Consider the following 25138-nt stretch of genomic DNA (forward strand, 5'->3'; position numbering starts at 1 on the left):
AACCTGAAGAAATATCGCTATCAGGAGGAATTGGCAACTCGTGGAGTTAGTGTTCAGTAGTCACTTGAGTCCTTGGAGCTCCACTTCCATGGTTTGCCTTTTATGGCTGGCCTTTCTTGCCCTGGTGAGTCTTCTTTCATACCAAGCCTCCCTCTTTTTGGTAGAGGTGTTTGGCTTCATTTTGGATTTGCTTTGGTGATAAGGCTGCCTTAATAAAGGACCTTAAAACACTCCTGGGATGATAAAAGACTTTTTGTCTTTTCTGGCATAAAGATAAGTGCCCTTCTGGTTTGAGTACTCTGGTTTCTATAGAATTTACATCTGTCTGCAAGGCATGTCTTCTGTGGTAAATTTACTTTTGGTTATTTTTATGTTCCTAAAGAGTGCTTGGGCCTTGAGTGAACATCAGCTGTAGCCAGTAAGTACTTGCTGCAGGCCTGGGGTAGTGCTGGCAATGGGGAGGCACTCCCTCTGCTTAAAGAAAGGGGAGGGCAGAGTGGGAAGCGCTTTGTCTTGAGGCGTGGGTGACAGCTCAGCTACACTAGAATAGAGCACCAGGTAGATTCCTAAGGTTCTTGACTTCAGGCCCTGGCTCTTGTACAGAATTTCTGGATCTACCCAGGACTAGGGGAACAGCTTCTACAATTGATTCGGCAGGAATCAAATCTGAGTTTGTCTACAGCGGATTCTGAGGAGACAAGACCTTCCGTGATGCTGAGTGACAGCATCTCCCAAAGTTAAAAATACCAAATGCATGACAGTGCTCCTGTGATTGGTTAACAGGGTGGTAGTCACTAATCCATTGAAATGTCTTATTTAAGGGGAACATGTGGGCGATCTTAATGTTATGGCTCTGAAATAAGAACCAGGTGCCAGCTATAGTTTCGGAACAGTCACCCCCCAAGTGTTATAGGCCTGGAGCGAGGAGTAGTACTCCTGAGCAGGATGATGATTTCTCGGAGGTTGGTAGATTAAGTGACCAAAATTTGGTAAGGGATATCCATGTTGGTGAGGGATTTCTTGACTGAGTTGTGCTATGTCTGATGAATGAATGTATGTACTAATGTATGTACTATGTAATATTAAGGATTTTTAGTACGGGTCAATATTCATATGGATTAGGTTTTGTTGTACGGTTCAAAATAGTAGATGTGCAATAATTGGCTAAGAGATTGTTAACATGTGCTTATATGTATGTGGACTAGATTTATAATGTACTCTCATATATGAATGTACTATGTACAAATAAGCCATTATAGTACTATATATTATCCATGGGGACTAAGAGTAATGCATGAAGTACATAAAAGCACTAATGTGTTACTGCTAGTTGATTAGGACTGGCATGGTAGTTGAAGTGTGTGCTGAGAAAAGTTCAGGGAACAGTTTAATTAGAATTTCAGCTTTGGGTGTGGACAATGAAATGGGAATGCTTTTTCCCTGAGTGTCCTGGGGAGGGAATTCTCCATTTCTGGTTTACAAGACCAGAGTATTGAATTATACTACAAGGACATTTTCATTTAAGTAGTTTATTTTCAGTTAAGGTAGTGAGTGGTATGAGGGTGAGGATGGTAGAGAAGTACATAACAGATGCTGTGTTTCCGATGGCAATAAAAGGGCATTCGACTGGCTGCCCTCCGATTCATCTGAGGGTAAACAGGTCAGCGACTAACATTCAGAATTGGCATTGACTGAATGGCTGAATACTGTGCTTGGTTGTTTAGACATGTGAAGAATGGGAATAGCTGCTAGAATGAGAATGGAGAATACAAGGGCCAGTACGCCTCCCAGTTTGTTAGGGATGGATCGTAAGATTGCGTATGCAAACACAAAGTATCACTCTGGCTTAATGTGTGGTGGGGTGTTGAGGGGGTTGGCTAAAGTGTAATTATCTGGGTCGTTCAGAAGGTCAGGCAAAAATAGTGCTAGAGTTATTAGAAAGAGGAAGAGAAAAATGAAAACTAGATTATCTTTGGTTGTATAGTAGGGATGGAAAGTGATTTTGTCAGGGTCTGATGAAACCCCTGCAGGATTATTAGATCCTGTTTTATGTAAAAATAAAAGGCGAATAGTTGCTAGAGCTGTAATGATGAAGGGTAAGATGAAATGGAAGGCAAAAATCATGTAAGGGTGGCTTGGTCAACTGAGAATCCGCCTCAGATTCATTGTATAAGGTCAGTTCCAATATATGGGATGGCTGATGGTAGATTTGTAATTACTGCAGCGCCTCAGAATAATATTTGGCCTCATGGGAGAACACAGCCTATAAATGCTGTTGCTATAGTTGTGAATTGGAGGATAATGCCAATATTTCAGGTTCCTAGGAATATAAATGATCCATAGTATAAGCCTCGGCCAATGTGTAAGAAGAGGCAGATGAAAAATATTGAAGTGCCGTTAGCATGAAAATAGCGGACCATTCAGCAGGAGTTTACATCTCGGCTGATATGGGCAACTGAAGAGAAGGCAGTTGAGCTGTCTGATGTATAGTGCGTGGCCAAAAGTAATCCCGTAATGATCTGGAGAATTAGGCAGGTACCAAGAAGTGAGCCAAAGTTTCATCATGTAGAAATGTTAGAGGGTGTGGGAAGATCAATAAATGAGTAATTAATAATTTTTCTTAGCGGGTGTGTTTAGCTGGTATTGGTCATTAGTGTTCTTATAGTTGAAGTACAACGATGAGTTTTCATGTCATTAGTCACGGTTATAGTCCATGTGGGAATAATGGCATATGCATTATTTTTATTGAGTGTACTTTTGGTTACAGGGTTTGTAGGTTTTTCTTCAAAACCTTCTCCTATTTATGGAGGTCTAGGGTTAATTATTAGTGGTGCTGTGGGTTGTGGTATTGTGTTGAATTTTGGCGGAGATTTCGTGGGGTTAATAGTTTTTATTTATTTATTTATTTGGGCAGTATGATGGTTGTTTTTGGTTATACTGCGGCGATGGCTATTGGGGAATACCCTGAAACATGAGAGTCAAATATTGACATTTGAGGGGCCTTATTATTAGGGTTATTAATAGAGTTGGTGTTGGTTCGGTGAATAGTTGAGTATGATGGGGTGGTAATTATGACTGATTTTAATAGCATAGAGAGTTGAATGATTTTTGAGGGTGAGGGAGTGGGGTTATTGTATGAGGATTCTGTGGGTGTGGCTGCCTTGTACAGTTATGGGTGTTGATTGGTGGTAGTTGCTGGTTGATCATTATTTGTTAGTATTTATGTTGCAACTGAAATTACTTGGGGTAATAGATTAATTAAGAGTAGGTTAGAAGGGATGGAATAAAAAAGAGAGAAAGAGTTTAATTAGGACTTTTTGAGTAGATACGGTAATGGAGGCTGAAACTTGGGTTTGTGAAATGGTCTTTGGCGTAGACTTTTCTAGTAAAATTAGGTCTAGAAGAAGTGAGCCCATATTTTGGCTTGTGAATAGGCTTGAGTGGGTGAATTGTACGGTGAATTGTGATTGAATAAAAACCTAGTATATTGGGCCGGGCGTGGTGGCTCCCGCCTGTAATCCCAGCACTTTGGGAGGCTGAGGTGGGCGGATCATGAGGTCAGGAGATCAAGACCATCCTGGCTAACACGGTGAAACACTGTCTCTACTAAAAATACAAAAAAATTAGCCAGTCGTGGTGGCCGGTGCCTGTCATCCCAGCTACTCGGGAGGCTGAGGCAGGAGAATGGCGTGAACCTGGGAGGCGGAGCTTGCAGTGAGCCGAGATCGCACCACTGCATTCCAGCCTCGGCGACAGAGCGAGACTCTGTCTCAAAAAAAACGAACAAACAAACAAACAAAAACCTAGTATACTGGAGAAGTTGAATGTCTTTAGTGGGTACCTTAATTTAAGGTTATTGGTTTTAAGGATTGAGTTCCATTGCTAGTAAGAGGCCTAAGGTGAAACAAATTAAAATGGAAACACAACATGCCAAAACCTATCCGATACAGTGAAAGCAGTACTAAGTGGGAAGGTGATAGGTTCTTTTGATAAGTGGCTACATCAAAAAACTAGAAAAACTTCAAATAAACAACCTTTTAAAGAATTAGAAAAGCAAGAGCAAATTAAACCCAAAATTGGTAGAAGAAAGAAATAATAAAGAACAGAGTAGAAATAAACAAAATTGAAACAGGAAAAAAAACTATGAAAGATCAATGAAATAAAAAGTTGGTTTTTGGAAAAGATAAAATAGACAAAACTTTATCCTGATTACCTAAGGAAAAAGAGAGAAAATCCAAATAAATAAAATGGGAGATGAAAATGGAGATGTTACAACTGATACCACAGAAATTCAAAGCAACATTAAAGGCTACTATGAGCAATTGTATGTCAATAAATTAGAAAATCTAGAAGAAATGGATAAATTCCTCGACACATACAACCTACTGAGATTGAACCATGAAGAACTCCTTAACCTGAACAAACCAATAACAGCTAATGAGATTGAAGATGTAATAAAAAGTCTACCAGCAAAAAAAAAAAAAAAAGCCCAGAAACCAATGGTTTCACTGCAGAATTTTACCAAATATTTAAAGAAGAACTATTACCAATCCTACTCAAATTATTGTGAAAAATAGAGGAGCAGGGAATGCTTAAAAACTCCTTCTGTGAGGTCAGTATTACCGTAATACCAAAACCAGACAAAGACATATCAAAAAAAAAAAAAAAAAAAAAAGAAAGAAACTACAAGCTAATATATCCCTGATGAACATTGATATAAAAATTCTAGACTAACTACTAGCAAACCAAATTCAACCACACATTAAAAAGATCATTTATCATGACCAAGTGGGATTTATCCCACGGAAGCAAGGTTTGTTTAACATATGCAAATCAATCAATATGATACATTATATCAACAGAATGAAGGACAAAAACCATATGACTATTACAATTGATGCGGAAAAACTACTTGATAAAATTCAACATCCTTTTTGATAAAAACCCTCAAAAAAACTGGGTACAGAAGAAACATACCTCAACTCAATAAAAACCATATATCACAGATCCACAGCTGGTATCATACTGAATGGGGAAAAACTGAAAGCCTTTCCTCAGATCTGGAACAAGGCAACGATGCCCACTTTCATCACTGTTGTTCAACATAATACTGGAAATTTCAGCTGGAGCAATCAGACAGGACAAAGAAATAAAGGGGATCCAAATTGGAAAAAAAATTATTCTTGTTTACAGATGATATAATCTTATGTTTGGAAAAACCTAAAGATTCCACACAAAAACTATTGGAAGCAATAAATTCAGTAGAAGTAGAGGATGCAAAATCCACATAAAAAATTAGTAGTATCTCTGTATGCGAAGAACAAATGATCTGAAAAGGAAATCAAGAAAGTAATCTCATTTATAATAGCTACAAATAAAATTAAATACCTAGGAATAAATTTAATCAAAGAAGTGAAACATATCTACAATTAAAATTATAAAACATCAACGAAAGAAATCAAAGAGGATAAAAAAAGTTATTCCATGTTCATGGATTGCAAGAATAAATGTTGTTAAAAAGTCCATAGTACACAGAGCAATCTACAGATTCAATGCAATCTCTATCTAAATACCAATGACATTCTTCATAGAAACCGAAAAAAATCCTAAAATGTATATGGAACCACAAGACTCAGAATAGCCAAAGCTATCCTGAGTAAAAAGAACCAAACTGGAGTAATCATATTATCTCTCTTCAAATTATACTACAGAGCTACAGTAACCAAAACAACATAGTACTGGCATAAAAACAGACACACAGACCGGTGGAACAGGTTAGAGAACCCAGAAATAAATCTGTACATCTACAGTGAGCTCATTTTTGACAAAGATACCAATAACATACATTGGGGAAAAAACAATCTCTTCAATAAACGGTGCCAGGAAAACTGGATATCTATATGCAGAAGAATGAAACTAGACTCCTGTCTCCCACATATACAAAAATCAAATAAAAATGGATTAAATACTTAAAACCATGACCTCAAACTATAAAACTACTACAAGAAAACTTTACAAAAATCTTTCAAGACATTGGACTGGGCAAACATTTCTTGAGCAATACCCCATAAGCACAGGAAATCAAAGAAAAACGGACAAATCACATCAAGTGAAAAAGCTTCTGCACAGCAAAGAATACAATGAACAAGTGAAAAGACAACGAACAGAATGAAAAAAAATTTGCAAACTACGCATTTGACAGGGAATTAATAACCAGAATTTATAAGGAGCTCAAACAACTCAAAAGAAAAAAATCTGATAATTTGATTAAAAATGGGGAGAAGATCTGAATAGAAATTTCTCAAAAGAAGTTATAGAAATGGCAAACAGACATATAAAGAGGCACTCAACCTCACTGATCATTAGAGAAGTGCAAATCAAAACTACATTGAGGTATCATTTCATCCCAGTTAAAATTATTTTTATCCAAAAGACAGGCAATAACAAATGTTGGTGAGGATTTAGAGAAAAGGGAACCATTGTACACTGTTGGTGGGAATGTAAATTAGTACAACCACTATGGAGAACAGTTTGGAGATTCCTCAAAAAAACTAAAAATAGAGCTACTAGGTATATATGCAAAAGAAATGAAATCAGTATATCAAAGAGATATCTGCAATCCAATATCTATTGAAGCACGAGTCAGAATAGCCAAGATTTGGAAGCAACCTAAGTGTCCATCAACACACAAATGGGTAAAGAAAATATGATACATGTACACAATGGAGTACTATTCAGCCATAGAAAAGAATCAGAATAGAAAAGAATCGGATTCTGTCATTTGCAACAACATGGATGGAATTGGAAGGTCATTATGTTAGGTGAAATAAGCCAGGCACAGAAAGGCAAACTTTACATGTTCTCACTTATTTGTGGCTGCTAAACAAAACAATTAAACTCATGGAGATAGAGAGTACGATGATGGTTATCGAGTCTGGTAACTGTAATGTGGTGGGGGGAGGGGGATAGTCAATGCTAGCAAGAATATAGTTTGAATGAATGAGATCTAGTATTTGATGGTACAACAGGATATCTATAGTCAAGAATAATTTATTGTACATTTAAAAATAACTAAAAGAGTATATTCGGATTGTTTGTAACACAAAGAAAGGATAAATATTTGAGGTGTTGGACAGTCTATTTACCCTGATGTGATTACCATGCATTGTATGTCTGTATCAAAATATCTTATGTAGCCTATACATATATATATGCCTATTATGTAACCCCCCTGACACACAAATCAGAAACTCTGAGGAAAAAGAAACTGACTTTACATTTAACATGTAGAACGTTCTAAGTTTTTGTTTGTTTGTTTTTGTTTTTTTGAGACAAGGTCTCACTTTGTCACCCAGGTTGGAGTACAGTGGTGTGATGAACATATATCACTGCAGCCTTGACCTCCCAGGCTCAAGCAATCCTCCCACCTCAGTCTCCCCAGTAGAGAGGACTACAGGTGTGTGCAGCCATACCTGGCTAACTTTTGCATTTTTTGTGGAGATGGGATTTCACCCTATTCCCCGTCTTGTCTCAAACTCCTGAGCTCAAACCATCCGCTTGCCTCAGCCTTCCAAGTTCTTTCTTTTTTTACCCCCCTCCTACTTTGAAACTGTTGACTTTTCTGCTGGTGTTGAGATAAAACTCACTGCTTATGGCACTTCAGCCATGATATTTGTTAAAAAGTCTTAAAGGGATTCCATATTAATGTATTTGAAAATTCTAACAGCTCCATGGCAACCAACAACCTAGATACCCTTTGGAAATGTAAATGTGGGTTTGCCTCACTAACAATTGCTTAGGGTGATGGAACTGTTAATTGAAGGATTGATAGTCTAAGAGAAAAAGAACCGGATAAATGTTCTTAAAAGGCTCTCAGATCAGACTGGTCAAAATCTTGAGCTTGGAGTAATAATACATGGTATTGCTGTTTGATACAAAGTTGCTTTGTGTGCTGTACAGGAGTCAGAAAAAGCAAAACATCCTGTTTAATTGCATCCTCACCTGCACTGACTAGTCAAAAAAAACCAGAGGAGCAAACAAGATAGATTTGTTACTAAAAATTCAAGGCCACAGGGAAATTTTATTTTTTATGGAATTCAGGCAGTCCTACTTAAAATATTAACACAAACATTAATAATTTAACTATAAACTCATTTGAAACTGAGAAGAAGGAATAAAAGGGTAAAAAAGATGTCTTTTTAAGAAGTCAACCTGCTATGCAAGCTGCTTTACTCAAAAATTTGGTCCACAGCCTTCATCAGATTACCTATCAGGGCAATGAAAATTTGGCCATATGAACTTGTCCCATTTTGTCAGAAATATAATTTTGATTCAATTATCTTTTACAAACTAGTGTGTTTATATTACTATTTCATGACTAAAATGATACAATTAAAGAGCTCTAAGATCCTTGTGTGTGTGTATGTGTACCTACATACACTTAGGTGTGTTTATGCATATGTACATTTATTATGTTGTATGTGTGTTTACACGGTAAAATCTGGTGTAGTTGGCCAGGAATCCCTTAAGGAATTCTATTCAGATAGGTTCAAACAAATGAGTGTTCCTAAAAATTTTAAAAATATATAGTAATTAACCCAAATAGCTTTCAGTTCATGTGGCTGAAGCAAATTTTTAACGAATAAGCTGATTTTAAAATTATTGATTAAAAAAATAGAAATGTCTTTAAAATTGTCCACATACATTTTTGCCTGGATTTACTGGTCAGATAGTTTTATATTTGTCCCTGCTAGCTGACTTAAGGTTATAAAACTATAAGCCCCTGGATGGATTTGGTGGCTCATGCCTGTAATCCCAGCACTTTGGGAGGCTGAGGTGGGCAGATCACCTGAGGTCAGGAGTTTGAAACCAGCCTGGCCAACATGGTGAAACGCTGTCTCTACTGCAAATACAAAAATTAGCTGGGTATGGTAGTGTATGCCTGTAATCCCAGGTATTCAGGAGGCTGAGGCAGGAGAATCACTTAAACCCAGGAGGCGGAGGCTGCAGTGAGCCAAGATCATGCCACTGCACTCCAGCCTGGGTGACAGACAGAGACCCCATCTCAAAAAATAAAATAAAATAATAAAAACAAAATAAAATAAAACTATAAGCCCCTCTGAAAGATAGAAGGGTATTTTTTTGTGTAATACATATGGCTAATTTAATATTGTTGGTTGAATAAATCTTCTGAGTTATTGATAAAATACCCATATATTTAATTTTAAGGTGTTTACTTAGGTGAATACCTTATGTTGTCATTAATTTGGGGGGTAGTTTGTTATGCAGCAATACATAACCAAAATACCAACTTTTAAATGTTTGCCAATTTTATGTGTGCAAGGTATGGGATCTCAATATTACTTCATTTGCTTTTATCTGACTGCTAATGAATTTAAGAAGCTTTCCATGAATCCCTGTGAATTCCCCTCACCTCCTATAATTGAATGACAAAGTTTGGAGGGGAAAAATGTTTCTCTGAATTAGCCAGGATAATTCAGAGAAATAATAGGAAATCAGCAACAGGGGATAAACTATAGTGCAGACACTGCTGGAAAGAAATATCAAAGGAAGAAAATAATCCCACAATGTTAGGTTGCCTGCTGGCACTGGTGAACCTTACACAAGATAGTGGCAACATTGTACCTGCTTTCAAGAGAAGACTTGTTCAACAGATTATGGCCTCTATCCCCTTGATTCTAGAAAATGTGGCCTCTGGATTTTTTGAAAGTACAGCTCAAAATGGCCAAATGCACAAGTCTGAGGTTGCTTCTGTCACCACCAGCAAAAGTGGCAGCAGTATCTGAGAGTACCCAGCAGGAATCTAACAGGAAACCACTGGATCTTAAGTCTTGCTGGTGAAAGAAAGTGAGGTTGAAATCTTCTAGCCTCATGATGAGGCAGAGAAAGCTGGGGTATTAAGGCTGGGGATGGCAGAGGGCTTAAAAACACCCTTCTCCAGCCTGGATAACATGGTGAAACCCTGTCTCTACAAAAAATACAAAAAAAGTTAGCTGGGCCTGGTGGTGTTCACCTGTAGTCCCAACTACCTGGAAGGCTGAGGTGAGCCCGCAAAGGTGGAGGCTGCAGTGAGCTGTGATTGTGCCACCAAACTCCAACATGTACATATTACTATTAATTTTGTATTTTCTCTTTTTAAACTTTGCATTTGTTACATGTTAAACTTTTGCGTAAGTACACCTCCTTAAAAAAATACTGCTGGCCCAGCACTTTGAGGTGATTGCAAAAGAGTGTGGAACAGAGAAAATTAAACTTAATAGTGGGCTCCAGATAGACTTAGCCTGAGAACCACTTCCTTCAAACCTTTCTTGTTTCTCAAATGTGGCTAAAGGGTTTTGACACTGAACCCTAACTGCCAATCACTCCCTCCAATGTGGGATCATACCAACAACCCAGGAAAGGTCCATCCCAACACCAAGAGAAAATCAAAATCTAACCACAGGATGATTGATCAGCGATGCTTTTAAAGAAATACCTTGATTAAAAAGGGGGGAATGTTAAAGTTGTCAGAATCATTGGAGTCACTTGTGTTAAGAAAATCCTGCCGAGCATGGTGGCTCACGCTGTATTCCCAGAACTTCGGGAGGCCGAGGCAGGTGGATCATGAGGTGAGGAGTTCGAGACCAGCCTGACCAACATGGTGAAACCCCATCTCTACTAAAAACACAAAAATTAGCCGGGCCTGGTTGTGTGCACCTGTAATCCCAGCTACTCTAGAGGCTGAGGCAGGAGAATTGCTTGAACCCAGGAGGCGGAGGTTGCAGTGAGCCAAGATCATGCCACTACACTCCAGTCTGGGCAAAAGAGCAACACTCTGTCTCAAAAAATAAAAAAAAAAAAAGAAAATCCTGACAGAACTGGGAAAGGTCATGAAGGGAGGGTTTTCATTGACTAAGTGCCTGATAAAACTATCACAAACACTCTGCCAAAACCACGACCTTGCACAAAGGCCATCACAACCTTACACAAAAATACTTCTGTGAGGACATCTGCTCAGCAACTGACTATCCAATCCCAGACTGGTACCATTCTTGTTATTGATCCCTGTGGCCTCCGCCACCACAGCAGATTTCAACCTCACTTCTAATCAACAATGCTTCTGATTTCAGTGCCAAAGATTCTCAGGTGCCAGGGTCACATTAGATAAAAGTAATCTTGTAAATTTGTTAATTTCTAAAAATCTAGGTGTCAATTTCCCTGAATCAAGGGAAAAAAGCCATACTCCACTGATTAACACTGTTCTGGATCCCAGCCACTGATATAGTTTGGATATTTGTCCCCTCCAAATCTCATGTTGACGTGTAATTTCCAGTGTTTGAGATTGGGCCTGGTGGGGGGTGTTTGGGTCATGGAGGTGGATTCTCTCACGAATAGCTTGGTGCTGTCCTTGTGATAATCAGAAGTTATCACTCTGTGTATATATGTGTATATATACACATGCGTGTGTATATATATGTGTATATATATGTGTATATATACACACGTGTATATATGTGTGTATATATACACATGCGTGTGTATATACACACGTGTATATATGTGTATACACACACACGTGTATATATGTGTATACACACACGTGTATATATGTGTGTATACACACACGTGTATATATGTGCGTATACACACACGTGTATATAAATGTGCATATACACACACGTGTGTGTATATGTATATATGTGCATATACACACACGTGTGTATATATGTATATATGTGCATATATACACACGTGTATATATGTGTATATATACACACACGTGTGTATATATGTGTGCGTATATACACATACACACACACATATATGAAATTGTAAATTACCTAGAGCACTCAAAACAATTTTGAAAAGAAAGGACAAAGTTGGATAAATACACTACTGTAGTTCAAGACTTAATATAAAGCTGCAGTCATCAAGATAGGTAAATATTAGTGTAAGAATGGACATATGGATAAATGGAGCAGAACAGAGTGTCCAGAAATAAATCCACAGCAGCGTAATCAGTACCAAGGATAGTCTGTAGGGAAAAGTGTGGTGTTTTAACCAGTAGCACTAGAGCAACTGAATATTTGTATGAAAACAAAACAAAACAAAACCAGGAATCTCAGCCCTTTACTTACACCATAAACATAAATAAACTCTAAATAAAGTATAGACATAAATGTAAAAGTTAAACCTATACACTTTTTAGAAGAAAACTGTCATAACCTTGAGGTGGGCAAAGATAAGAAACAAAATATACATCATATAAAATCCTGACAAATCAGGCTTCATCAAATTAAAACTTTCTGCCTTTGGAGAGATAGCATTGCAATTACGAAAAGGCAAGCTATGATCTAGGGAAAAAATGTTTAGAAATACATGTCTGAAAAGACTTAACTATCAAAATATTTAAATAATACTTTGAAAATTAACAAGAAGGCAGACAATTGGATTTTTTAAGATTGGCAAATATTTGAACAGACACTTTACAATAGAAGATACAGAATAGTCAATGAGTGTAGGATAAGATGTTCATTCAACAGTATTGTTCACCAGGGAAATGCAAATTAAACCACTATGAAGTACAACTGGAATAGCTAATATCAAATATAGCTGACAACACCAATTGCTGATGAGGATGAGGAGCAAGCAGAACTCTCATATATTGAGGATGGGAGTCTAGTAGGGCATACTTGCTTTGGAAAAGTTTGTTTCTTATACAAATAAGTACACATCATAAGATCCAAGAATTGCACTTCTAGATCCTAATCCAAGAAAAATGAAAATATATTTTCACAAGCACTTATATACAGATGTCTATACCATTTTATTTATAATAGAAGGAAACTGGGAACAACCAAATGACCATCAACAGATAAAGGGACAAAATACATTTTGCACAGTGGTGGTATAGAATACTAATCAGCAATAAAAAGAGTAAAATTCCAGAAACATGCAACAACATGGATAAATAGGAAAACATCATGCTGAGTAAAAGAAGACAGGTAGAAAAAACTACATACCGTAAGATTTCATTTATATAAAATTTTAGAATAGGCAAAGCTAACATAATAGAAGCAGATCAGTGGGTGCCTAGTATAGAGGCTCTGGAATTGGCAACAGAGGGGCAAGAGGGAAATCCAGGAATTGTGGAAACATTCTATGTCTTGATTATGGGAATAGCTACACAGGTGAATGCATTTGTGAAAACTCATAAAACCTGGGACTTAAAATGGGTGCATCTTATTGCATGCAAAATAAATACTTCAATGCTGACTAAAAACAACATAATTTGTTTTGCCAGTTGACAGAGCTTTAAGATAAAAGAGACCTATAAGGTAAAGATTTGGTCCCGATATTTTTATTTTATTTATTTATTTTTATTTTTTTTTTGAGACAGAGTTTTGCTCTTGTTGCCCAGGCTGCAGTGCAATGGCGTAATCTCAGCTCACCACAACCTCCGCCTCCCAGGTTCAAGCGATTCTCCTGACTCAGCCTCCGGAGTAGCTGGGATTACAGGCATGTGCCACCATGCCCGGCTAATTTTTGTATTTTTAGTAGAGATGGGGTTTCACCATGTTGGTCAGGCTGGTCTCAAACTCCCAAACTCAGGCGATCCACCTGCCTCGGCCTCCCAAAGTTCTGGGATTACAGGTGTGAGCCACCTCCCCCGGCTTCTGATATTTTCAAAAGGGTTACTGTTAAAATCTTCAACTTGAAGCCCATTTCTTCCTTGGCTCCTTTTCAATGAAGTAAAATCTTTCCATACTTCCTCCTCTTTTCCTTTTCTTTCTCTTCTTTTTCTTTTTAAGAATAAAAATACTCTTCATCAAGGAAACGGAAAATGAGTTAGTTTGTATTTGAATTTTTATTCTAAGAATTAATTTAATATGAATTAGAATTTTTGGAATAAGACTACTAATTCTGGCACTTTATGTATTAAAACCAATGAGTTTCCAATATGCATAATTCATATTCGAGAGAGAGCTCTTACTAGTTTCATAATTATTACTTCCTCCCACATTTGAAATTATTGGTATATATGTAGTGGCTTTCTCGTTTTTTTTTTTTTTTTGTAATCTGTTTATCTGGGAAGCGAAGTAAGCACAGGCATTTCTTTCTTTCTTTTTTTTTTTTTTTTTTGAGACAGAGTCTCGCTCTGTCGCCCAGGCTGGAGTGCAGTGGCACAATCTCGGCTCACTGCAAGCTCCGCCTCCCGGGTTCACGCCATTCTGCTGCTTCAGCCTCCCCGGTAGCTGGGACTACAGGCACCCACGACGCCCGGCTAATTTTTTGTATGTTTAGTAGAGACAGGGTTTCACCGTGTTAGCCAGGATGGTCTCGATCTCCCGAGCTTGTGATCCACCCGCCTCGGCCTCCCAAAGTGCTGGGATTACAGGCATGAGCCACCGCGCCAGGCCCCAGCACGGGCATTTCTTAGTTTAGCTCTACTGCTCCAAGGTATAAATACTGGAAATATCCAATTTCAGATTTAAAAATGATTAGCTGCTAATCCATGAGTGCTGGAGGATGTTTTTTGTTTGTTTGTTATGTTCTGTTTTGTTTTGTTTTTTGTTTTGACAGAGGGTCTCACTCTTGTCCAGGTTGGAGTGCAGTGGCTCAATCACGGCTCACTGCAGCCTGACCTTCCCAGGCTCACCTCAGCCTCCTGGGTAGCTGGGACTACAGGCGTGCACCACCATGCCTAGCTAACTTTTTGGTGGAGATGGGGTTTCACCATGTTGCCCAGGCTGGAGAAAGGTGTTTTAAGCCCTCTGCCGTCCCCAGCCTTAATACCCCAGCTTTCGCTCCCTCATCATGAGGCTAGATTTCAACCTCACTTCCTTTCACCAAGGAAACTTAAGATCCTGTGGTTTCCTGTTAGATTTCTGTAGGAGGCTCTCAGGTACTGCTGCCACTTTTGCTGGTGGTGACAGAAGCAACCTCAGACTTGTGCGTTTGGCCATTTTGAGCTGTACTTTCAAACAATCCAGAGACCAATTTTCCTAGAATCAAGGAGATAGAGGCCATAATCCGTTGAACAAGTGTTCTCTTGAAAGCAGGTACAACGTTACCACTATCTTGTATAAGGTGCACCAATGCCAGAGGGCAACCTAACATTCTGGAATTATTTTTTTCCCTTGAAATTTCTCTCCAGCAGTAACTGCACTATAGTTTATCCCCTGTTGTTGATTTATTGTTATTTCTCTGAATTATCTTAGCTAATTCAGAGAAACTTTTTTCCCCTCCAAACTTTGTCATTCAATTCTGGCGGTGGGGGAGTTCACAGGGATTCATGTAAAGCTTCTCAATCTTATTAGTGTCAGATAAATGCAAATGAAGTAACATTGAGATGCTACACCTTGTACACATAAGATTGGCAAACGTTTAAAAGTTGGTGTTTTAGTTATGTATTGCTGCATAACAAACTATCCCTCAAATTAATGACAATGCCCTTAAGATTCATGAAATCTCTTTTACATAGCAAGGAGGGTCTAGGAGGCACATTCTGAAATCTTTCTGACATCTCAAAAAATGGTTTAACAGCTGCATCTTCATTTGAGGATTTACCTCGATATTTATCCTTAGATCAAATTTTGCTGACAACATGCTGGATTTGATCTTTGAATTTTCTGCCTTTGAGAACTTTCTGATTGCTAGTATAGAAAGACCACCATGGGGCCTCAATGTTTCTTGAAATTCTGCTAAAAAATGGAACAATTCCTTTCTATCTTGTATTTTACCATAGGAAGCCAGAGAAAGCAATCTGTCATGTTTAACATTCTGCCTGGAAATTTCCCTAGCTAGATCTTATCAGATCAAATGAACTGTAGAGTTAATTTCTGGGAAGAAACCACCTCAACTGCCTCGCGCCTTCTGCGTGTTAGAAGGGAATCGAGTCTGGTGCCAGGATTCAACGAGAAGGGAGCGGTACATCCCAAACCATGAATTTCATAACGCTGGTCTCCGGGGAAAATACTGACATTCTACTCCATTACTCTTGAGCCTTGAGCAACTGAAGAGGTTGAGTTTGTGAATACATGCTGTCAGACAGGATTACCTTGGGAAACAGTGAAACATGCAAAACCTCTGAGGAGTCCAATATTTGTTAAATGAATTTACAGAAGAGACTCACTGGAAACATTTAACATTTATATGAGGTTGGGTAAATAGAATGATATTTTCATTCAATTCACTATTATCTGTTAAACACATACTTTTTTTTTTTTTTTTTCGATGGAATCTTGCTCTGGCTAATTTTCGTATTTTTAGTAGAGACAGGGTTTCACCATGTTGGCCAGTCTGATCTCAAACTCCTGATCTCAAGTGATCTGCCTGCCTTGGCCTCCCAAAGTGTTGGGATTACAGGCGCCACGCCCAGCCAACACCTCTTTTTTACGAAGTACTGCATGAGTAACTTGGGGTTGCAACCAAAGGGTGTCCTTGCTTTCAAATAGGATATTTCATAGAATATGACTTAAATAAATACATGATGACATAGAGTTATATTCCAAGTGAGCTCCCACTAAATTATTGCTTTTCAAATTCTTTTTGGTTACCATTGGTTCACATGTACTATCTTTCTTAATATAGGATCACTAATATTGAGGAGATCCTATTTATAAAAACAATCACTTGTGTCTAAGATTGATTGTTAATGTCAATATAATGCATATCATCTGTAAAAAGGAAATTTGTAAGAAGGAAATATTAAAAAATACCTGCCAGAACAACAGGATTCTGAAAGATTCTGTTTGGAAAAAACAAACAAACGAACAAAAAAACGTTTTATGGGGCTAGGTTTTATACCTCTTTCCCAGTTATTTTCTTTTGCTTTCTTCACCACGTTGTGGCAGGCCAGGTTTCACTAACTCAGGCTTCCATAACAACGGTTTCAGCACTGACCGAGTGGTTCCATCAAATATTAACAGCTGAGAGAGTCAGTGCCCTTCTGCAAAGGCTGGAATGTCACAAAAGCCCATCAAGAGCTTTGCCTCGGCCTTTCCTGGGCCTTAAATCATGACAGGATAATGAAGGAATTCTTAACGGGACCCGTTTAGGAGTAAATAAGTTTTATTGGGGGGTCCAAAGAAACTCCCCAGGCCTCCACAAACAAGCCTTATTGGGTACTAAAGAAACTCCCCAAACCTCCATGATTTAGCAGGAGACAAGACAAAGGTATTGACCCCAGCACCTGGACCCATTTAGGTTAAGTAAATTTACTCAGGTTCCAGAGGAAGAGCTTCAAGACTCAGACCTTAGTTATAGATGAAAAGAAGTTAATCACTTATGTCTTTAGATGAATGCACAAATGCACACTTACATGTAGACATATAGCTTAGAAGGTATACAAGCTCTGGAAAACTTTGTAGTTTTGAGTTGGTCTGGGGATAATTTCAAGGCCTTCTCCCTGTAACTGGTTACAGAAATAAAAACTTGATTCTCTCCCAGTTCATCTGCATCTCGTTATTGGGCTGCGAGAATAAGTAGCCCGACCCTTGGCTTGGTCAGGAACAGCATGACATAAGAGACAGAGCACTGGCTTTGTAATCAGTTGATCTGGGTTCAAATCCTGATTCTATCACTTAAAAGCTGTGTGACATTGGGTGTACCAAATGTCTCTGTGCCTCTGTTTCTTCATGGGTAAAATCATGGTAATACTTTACATCCCCCCCCCATAATTCGGTGCCTGGCCCAGTGTCAAGACTCAGTATTTATTATTGAGTTGTTATTATCGTTACGGTGAATGACGTCGCAAATGTTCCTGGCATTTACAGACAGGTCTCCACTGCACGGTTGTCACAATGGTTACTCTTTTGGGGAGCTCCCATCGGAGCAGCTGCTTCCACCTTGCTTTATTTTCCTGCAGATAATGTCCTGTTCCCGTCATTATCTGCTAACTTCTTGACTGAATGCCTGATAGGAGCTCAGATAGCCAAGTGTGGCTTTGTGCCACACCCTCCTAACATAGCTCGTTTTCTGTTCCTATGGACTACAGAATGCGCTCTAGGGTTTGAACTGCAGACCTGTTCCTGCGTCATTCTCTATGTTTGACTTGTGGCCATCCTAGTGAGGTTAAATGAAGCTCTGAGGTGAAAGCAGGAAGGATTCGGTTCAGGGAGAGCGTTTGTTTGATACAGGTGTTATACATGATGAACTATCCATCAGGGACAGGGATCAGAGCAGAGGTCAGAGAAGAGTGGTGGAGGTGAGAACCTGCCATGATCGGGAGAGGAGGGAGGGATGTCACAGTAACATGCAGTCTGCTAATATTTGGCAGATTGTCATCTTCATGACCTCAATGGTCTTGTTAGTTCCTGCCGCAATTTTGCAGTTATGTAGGGTCACCCCTGCTCTCCCCATCCAGACAATGCTGATGAAAGAGATATTAGCAAGAGATACCATCCAGATCAAATATATCTTACAGAGATCAGTGCAACTTTGCATGAATGAGTCCAACTTTGCACGAAGTAAGAGTCCAGGACTCTTACTTCCTGAGTATCCTGAAACCCAGTGCATCTTTTCCCTGGGGAAAATGAAAACACAAAGCCATCCAAAAAAAACAAGCAAAATATATTGGAAGGAAACTCTGGTATATAACATTGAGCTGCTGGTTTGAAAAGCAGTGACCTCTCTGTGCAAATGATTTTTTTTTCCAAACAGAGCTGAACAAGGTAAGATTCTGGGTTAATGGCTTCCATAACGATTAAAATTAAAATGTAAACCATCTGTAGTAGGGCTTACAGCCCTGCAGGAACTTACAGAACCATCAAATAATTTTAATAAACTGCTTATGCAAGCCTATTTCTATGGGAGGTCAGACTCCAGTCTCTCTTTAAGAGGCTGCCAAGACACCCTGGACTCAGATGATAAGGCATCTGCGTGTTCTCTGAGGCCAAGACTGCGAAAATGTGTCTCAGCAGGCAAGGGGGGAAAACTGATACCTTTATAAAAGACATATTAAAAAGTGAGAGGTCTCTAGGGATTTTCTTGAAACTACCATTAAAGCTACATCATCTCTCTTTCCCCAGAAAGCCCACTTGGATTAAGCTCATCAACCAATGGGAATGTCAGTGATTGGATGGTTGTATGTCGGCGTGAAACAATGGTTATCTGTTAAACTGAATTTTATATCCGTGTGGTGTTCAGTTTTTTCCCTCAGGATCTGGGATAGTGAAAGTTCCCTTGATCTGTGGGCTTTGTCTTTGTGGTGCTAACTGCTGAAGTACTTGCCTCCAGAATAGGCACCTCTGCTGACGGCTAGAGCCACAAACATTCCTGATCCCACTGGTGGCGTTTTCCTATTAAGTTGGGTGCACATTTCCATACAGACACGATCAAACATTGCATGTTATGATTAGAAATAAAGCTGAGGACTGAGAAACTGAATATACAATGACCAGACCATATATAAAAACAGAATGTTGACCCGTCACCTGCAGCAACCTGCCCAAGAAACCAACCCCTATTTACAGTAAGCAACCCAGGAATCCAGCCTGCTATATAAACCACACTTGCAGGAAGCCAGATTGCTATCTTGGAAGGTAAATAATTTCTGTAACGATCGGCCCCAGATGGCCAGGACTTAATAACTGAAGCTTCCCTAATTTTGCCCTTGCTTTCAACTTAGGACCAACTAAAGAAAGTCAAACATGTACCTCTTACCTATCACACAGGGTGCCCTGCACGTAGTTAGCTTACCTCCAGCTTCTTCACGCCAACAGTCCAATCAGCACACCTGAGCCTTCTCTTCCGTGGGTCTTAAAGCTTTTGCATTCCTCTGCCTGCCTTTGAGTCTCTGCGCAAACGCTAGTGATGGTGGCCGACTCCTTTGCTATAGCAAGCTCAGAATCGATAGCCTTTGCTTTTCTCCTTTGGTCTTTGTTCAGTACTATAGTTTAAATAGACTTTGTGAGCCAGTTGGTTTCTAAATCATTCTAACTGCCATTCACTCACTTACTGAAGAAATATTTACTAAAAGCTTCAATATAGGCCATATTTCTTGCTAGACACAGGAGCAAATGAAATAAGATAGGGGCCCTCCCCTAGAGGACAGTAACTTGGCAACTAAAGGGATGAACGGGATGACTTGGCAACCAAGTCAAAGGGCATTAAAATACAGAGGCGGACTCAAACGAAGATGGCCGAATAGGAACAGCTCCGGTCTACAGCTCCCAGCGTGAGCAAAGCAGAAGACGGGTGATTTCTGCATTTCCATCTGAGGTACCAGGTTCATGTCACTAGGGAGTGCCAGGCAGTGGGCGCAGGTCAATGGGTGCGCGCACGGTGCGCGAGCCGAAGCAGGGCGAGGCATTGCCTCACTTGGGAAGCGCAAGGGGTCAGGGAGTTCCCTTTCTGAGTCAAAGAAAGGGGTGACGGACGCACCTGGAAAATCGGGTCACTCCCACCCGAATATTAACCTTTTCGGACCGGCTTAAAAAACGGCGCACCACGAGATTATATCACACACCTGGCTCGGAGGGTCCTACGCCCACGGAGTCTCGCTGATTGCTAGCACAGCAGTCTGAGATCAAACTGCAAGGCGGCAGCGAGGCTGGGGGAGGGGCGCCCGCCATTGCCCAGGCTTGCTTAGGTAAACAAAGCAGCCCGGAAGCTCGAACTGGGTGGAGCCCACCACAGCTCAAGGAGGCCTGCCTGCCTCTGTAGGCTCCACCTCTGGGGGCAGGGCACAGACAAACAAAAAGACAGCAGTAACCTCTGCAGACTTAAATGTCCCTGTCTGACAGCTTTGAAGAGAGCAGTGGTTCTCCCAGCACGCAGCTGGAGATCTGAGAACGGGCAGACTGCCTCCTCAAGTGGGTCCCTGACCCCTGACCCCCGAGCAGCCTAACTGGGAGGCACCCCCCAGCAGGGGCACACTGACACCTCACACGGCAGGGTATTCCAACAGACCTGCAGCTGAGGGTCCTGTCTGTTAGAAGGAAAACTAACAAACAGAAAGGACATCCACACCAAAAACCCATCTGTACATCACCATCATCAAAGACCAAAAGTAGATAAAACCACAAAGATGGGGAAAAAACAGAACAGAAAAACTGGAAACTCTAAAACGCAGAGCGCCTCTCCTCCTCCAAAGGAACGCAGTTCCTCACCAGCAACGGAACAAAGCTGGATGGAGAATGACTTTGACGAGCTGAGAGAAGAAGGCTTCAGACGATCAAATTACTCTGAGCTACGGGAGGACATTCAAACCAAAGGCAAAGAGGTTGAAAACTTTGAAAAAAATTTAGAAGAATGTATAACTAGAATAACCAATACAGAGAAGTGCTTAAAGGAGCTGATGGAGCTGAAAACCAAGGCTCGAGAACTACGTGACGAATGCAGAAGCCTCAGGAGCTGATGCGATCAACTGGAAGAAAGGGTATCAGTGATGGAAGATGAAATGAATGAAATGAAGCGAGAAGGGAAGTTTAGAGAAAAAAGAATAAAAAGAAATGAGCAAAGCCTCCAAGAAATATGGGACTATGTGAAAAGACCAAATCTACATCTGATTGGTGTACCTGAAAGTGATGGGGAGAATGGAACCAAGTTGGAAAACACTCTGCAGGATATTATCCAGGAGAACTTCCCCAATCTAGCAAGGCAGGCCAACGTTCAGTTTCAGGAAATACAGAGAACGCCACAAAGATACTCCTCGAGAAGAGCAACTCCAAGACACATAATTGTCAGATTCACCAAAGTTGAAATGAAGGAAAAAAATGTTAAGGGCAGCCAGAGAGAAAGGTCGGATTACCCTCAAAGGGAATCCCATCAAACTAACAGCGGATCTCTCGGGAGAAACCCTACAAGCCAGAAGAGAGTGGGGGCCAATATTCAGCATTCTTAAAGAAAAGAATTTTCAACCCAGAATTTCATATCCAGCCAAACTAAGCTTCATAAATGAGGGAGAAATAAAATACTTTACAGACAAGCAAATGCTGAGAGATTTTGTCACCACCAGGCCTGCCCTACAAGAGCTCCTGAAGGAAGCGCTAAACATGGAAAGGAACAACCGCTGCAAAATCAAGCCAAAATGTAAAGACCATCGAGACTAGGAAGAAACTGCATCAACTAACGAGCAAAATCACCAGCTAACATCATAATGACAGGATCAAATTCACACATAACAATATTAACTTTAAATGTAAATGGACTAAATGCTCCAATTAAAAGACACAGACTGGCAAATTGGATAAAGAGTCAAGACCCATCAGTGTGCTGTATTCAGGAAACCCATCTCAAGTGCAGAGACACACATAGGCTCAAAATAAAAGGATGGAGGAAGATCTACCAAGCAAATGGAAAACAAAAAAAGGCAGGGGTTGCCATCCTAGTCTCTGATAAAACAGACTTTAAACCAACAAAGATCAAAAGAGACAAAGAAGGCCATTACATAATGGTAAAGGGATCAATTCAACAAGAAGAGCTAATTATCCTAAATATATATGCACCCAATACAGGAGCACCCAGATTCATAAAGCAAGTCCTGAGTGACCTACAAAGAGACTTAGACTCCCACACATTAATAATGGGAGACTTTAACACCCCACTGTCAACATTAGACAGATCAACGAGACAGAAAGTCAACAAGGATACCCAGGAATTGAACTCAGCTCTGCACCAAGCAGACCTAATAGACATCTACAGAACTCTCCACCCCAAATCAACAGAATATACATTTTTTTCAGCACCACACCACACCTATTCCAAAATTGACCACATACTTGGAAGTAAAGCTCTCCTCAGCAAATGTAAAAGAACAGAGATTATAACAAACTATCTCTCAGACCACAGTGCAATCAAACTAGAACTCAGGATTAAGAATCTCACTCAAAACCGCTCAACTACATGGAAACTGAACATCCTGCTTCTGAATGACTACTGGATACCTAACAAAATGAAGGCAGAAATAAAGATGTTCTTTGAAACCAATGAGAACAAAGACACAACATACCAGAATCTCTGGGACGCATTCAAAGCAGTGTGTAGAGGGAAATTTATAGCACTAAATGCCCACAAGAGAAAGCAGGAAAGATCCAAAATTGACACCCTAACATCACAATTAAAAGAACTAGAAAAGCAAGAGCAAACACATTCAAAAGCTAGCAGAAGGCAAGAAATAACTAAAATCAGAGCAGAACTGAAGGAAATAGAGACACAAAAAACCCTTCAAAAAATTAATGAATCCAGGAGCTGGTTTTTTGAAAGGATCAACAAAATTGATAGACCACTAGCAAGACTAATAAAGAAAAAAAGATAGAAGAATCAAATAGACACAATAAAAAATGATAAAGGGGATATCACCACCGATCCCACAGAAATACAAACTACCATCAGAGAATGCTACAAACACCTCTACGCAAATAAACTAGAAAATCTAGAAGAAATGGATAAATTCCTCGACACATACACTCTCCCAAGACTAAACCAGGAAGAAGTTGAATCTCTGAATAGACCAATAACAGGATCTGAAATTGTGGCAATAATCAATAGCTTACCAACCAAAAAGAGTCCAGGACCAGACGGATTCACAGCCGAATTCTACCAGAGGTACAAGGAGGAACTGGTACCATTCCTTCTGAAACTATTCCAATCAATAGAAAAAGAGGGAATCCTCCCTAACTCATTTTATGAGGCCAGCATCATCCTGATACCAAAGCCGGGCAGAGACACAACCAAAAAAGAGAATTTTAGACCAATATCCTTGATGAACATTGATGCAAAAATCCTCAATAAAATACTGGCAAAACGAATCCAGCAGCACATCAAAAAGCTTATTCACCATGATCAAGTGGGCTTCATCCCTGGGATGCAAGGCTGGTTCAATATACGCAAATCAATAAATGTAATCCAGCATATAAACAGAGCCAAAGACAAAAACCACATGATTATCTCAATAGATGCAGAAAAAGCCTTTGACAAAATTCAACAACCCTTCATGCTAAAAATTCTCAGTAAATTAAGTATTGATGGGACGTATTTCAAAATAATGAGAGCTATGACAAACCCACAGCCAATATCATACTGAATGGGCAAAAACTGGAAGCATTCCCTTTGAAAACGGGCACAAGACAGGGATGCCCTCTCTCAGCACTCCTATTCAACATAGTGTTGGAGGTTCTGGCCAGGGCAATTAGGCAGGAGAAGGAAATAAAGGGTATTCAATTAGGAAAAGAGGAAGTCAAATTGTCCCTGTTTGCAGATGACATGATTGTATATCTAGAAAACCCCATTGTCTCAGCCCAAAATCTCCTTAAGCTCATAAGCAACTTCAGCAAAGTCTCAAGATACAAAATCAATGTAGAAAAATCACAAGCATTCTTATACACCAACAACAGACAAACAGAGAGCCAAATCGTGAGTGAACTCCCATTCACAATTGCTTCAAAGACAATAAAATACCTAGGAATCCAACTTACAAGGGATGCGAAGGACCTCTTCAAGGAAAACTACAAACCACTGCTCAAGGAAATAAAAGAGGATACAAATGGAAGAACATTCCATGCTCATGGGTAGGAAGAATCAATATCGTGAAAATGGCCATACTGCCCAAGGTAATTTACAGATTCAATGCCATCCCCATCAAGCTACCAATGACTTTCTTCACAGAATTGGAAAAAACTACTTTCAAGTTCATATGGAACCAAAAAAGAGCCTGCATCACCAAGGCAATCCTAAGCCAAAAGAACAAAGCTGGAGGCATCACGCTACCTGACTTCAAACTATACTACAAGGCTACAGTAACCAAAACAGCATGGTACTGGTACCAAAACAGAGATATAGGTCAATGGAACAGAACAGAGCCCTCGAAAATAACGCCGCATATCTACAACTATCTGATCTTGGAGAAACCTGAGAAAAACAAGCAATGGGGAAAGGATTCCCTATTTAATAAATGGTGCTGGGAAAACTGGCTAGCCATATGTAGAAAGCTGAAACTGGATCCCTTCCTTACACCTTATACAAAAATCAATTCAAGATGGATTAAAGATTTAAACGTTAGACCTAAAACCATAAAAACCCTAGAAGAAAACCTAGGCATTACCATTCAGGACATAGGCATGGGCAAGGACTTCATGTCCAAAACACCAAAAGCAATGGCAACAAAAGCCAAAATTGACAAATGGGATCTAATTAA

The 25138-nt window shown here is 39.7% G+C and overlaps 2 pseudogenes, besides 5 other annotated features; one reads left to right on the forward strand and one right to left on the reverse strand.

Annotated features, from left to right (window-relative positions):
• On the reverse strand, positions 1520-2651 carry MTCYBP28 (MT-CYB pseudogene 28; annotated as a pseudogene).
• On the forward strand, positions 2726-3251 carry MTND6P28 (MT-ND6 pseudogene 28; annotated as a pseudogene).
• Positions 3603-3747: an enhancer, noted in NCBI's record as "145 bp 16:82156398 sequence used in MPRA reporter constructs". NCBI's record gives its function as "activates a minimal TATA-containing promoter with rs12922879 allelic activity by MPRAs in UACC903 melanoma cells {active_cell/tissue: UACC903}" and the evidence as "EXISTENCE:reporter gene assay evidence [ECO:0000049][PMID:36423637]".
• Position 3675: a transcriptional cis regulatory region, noted in NCBI's record as "rs12922879 or 16:82156398 MPRA-significant variant associated with a GWAS melanoma risk locus at 16q23.3". NCBI's record gives its function as "allelic transcriptional activity by MPRAs in UACC903 melanoma cells {active_cell/tissue: UACC903}" and the evidence as "EXISTENCE:reporter gene assay evidence [ECO:0000049][PMID:36423637]".
• Positions 14398-14542: an enhancer, noted in NCBI's record as "145 bp 16:82167193 sequence used in MPRA reporter constructs". NCBI's record gives its function as "activates a minimal TATA-containing promoter with rs6564982 allelic activity by MPRAs in C283T melanocytes {active_cell/tissue: C283T}" and the evidence as "EXISTENCE:reporter gene assay evidence [ECO:0000049][PMID:36423637]".
• Position 14470: a transcriptional cis regulatory region, noted in NCBI's record as "rs6564982 or 16:82167193 MPRA-significant variant associated with a GWAS melanoma risk locus at 16q23.3". NCBI's record gives its function as "allelic transcriptional activity by MPRAs in C283T melanocytes {active_cell/tissue: C283T}" and the evidence as "EXISTENCE:reporter gene assay evidence [ECO:0000049][PMID:36423637]".
• Positions 20312-20899: an enhancer, noted in NCBI's record as "OCT4-NANOG-H3K27ac-H3K4me1 hESC enhancer chr16:82173035-82173622 (GRCh37/hg19 assembly coordinates)". NCBI's record gives its function as "activates a minimal SCP1, AML or CMV promoter by ChIP-STARR-seq in primed H9 embryonic stem cells {active_cell/tissue: H9 hESC(primed)}" and the evidence as "EXISTENCE:reporter gene assay evidence [ECO:0000049][PMID:30033119]".

This window comes from Homo sapiens, chromosome 16, assembly GCF_000001405.40.
Source record: "Homo sapiens chromosome 16, GRCh38.p14 Primary Assembly".
Taxonomy (NCBI): Eukaryota; Metazoa; Chordata; class Mammalia; order Primates; family Hominidae; genus Homo; species Homo sapiens.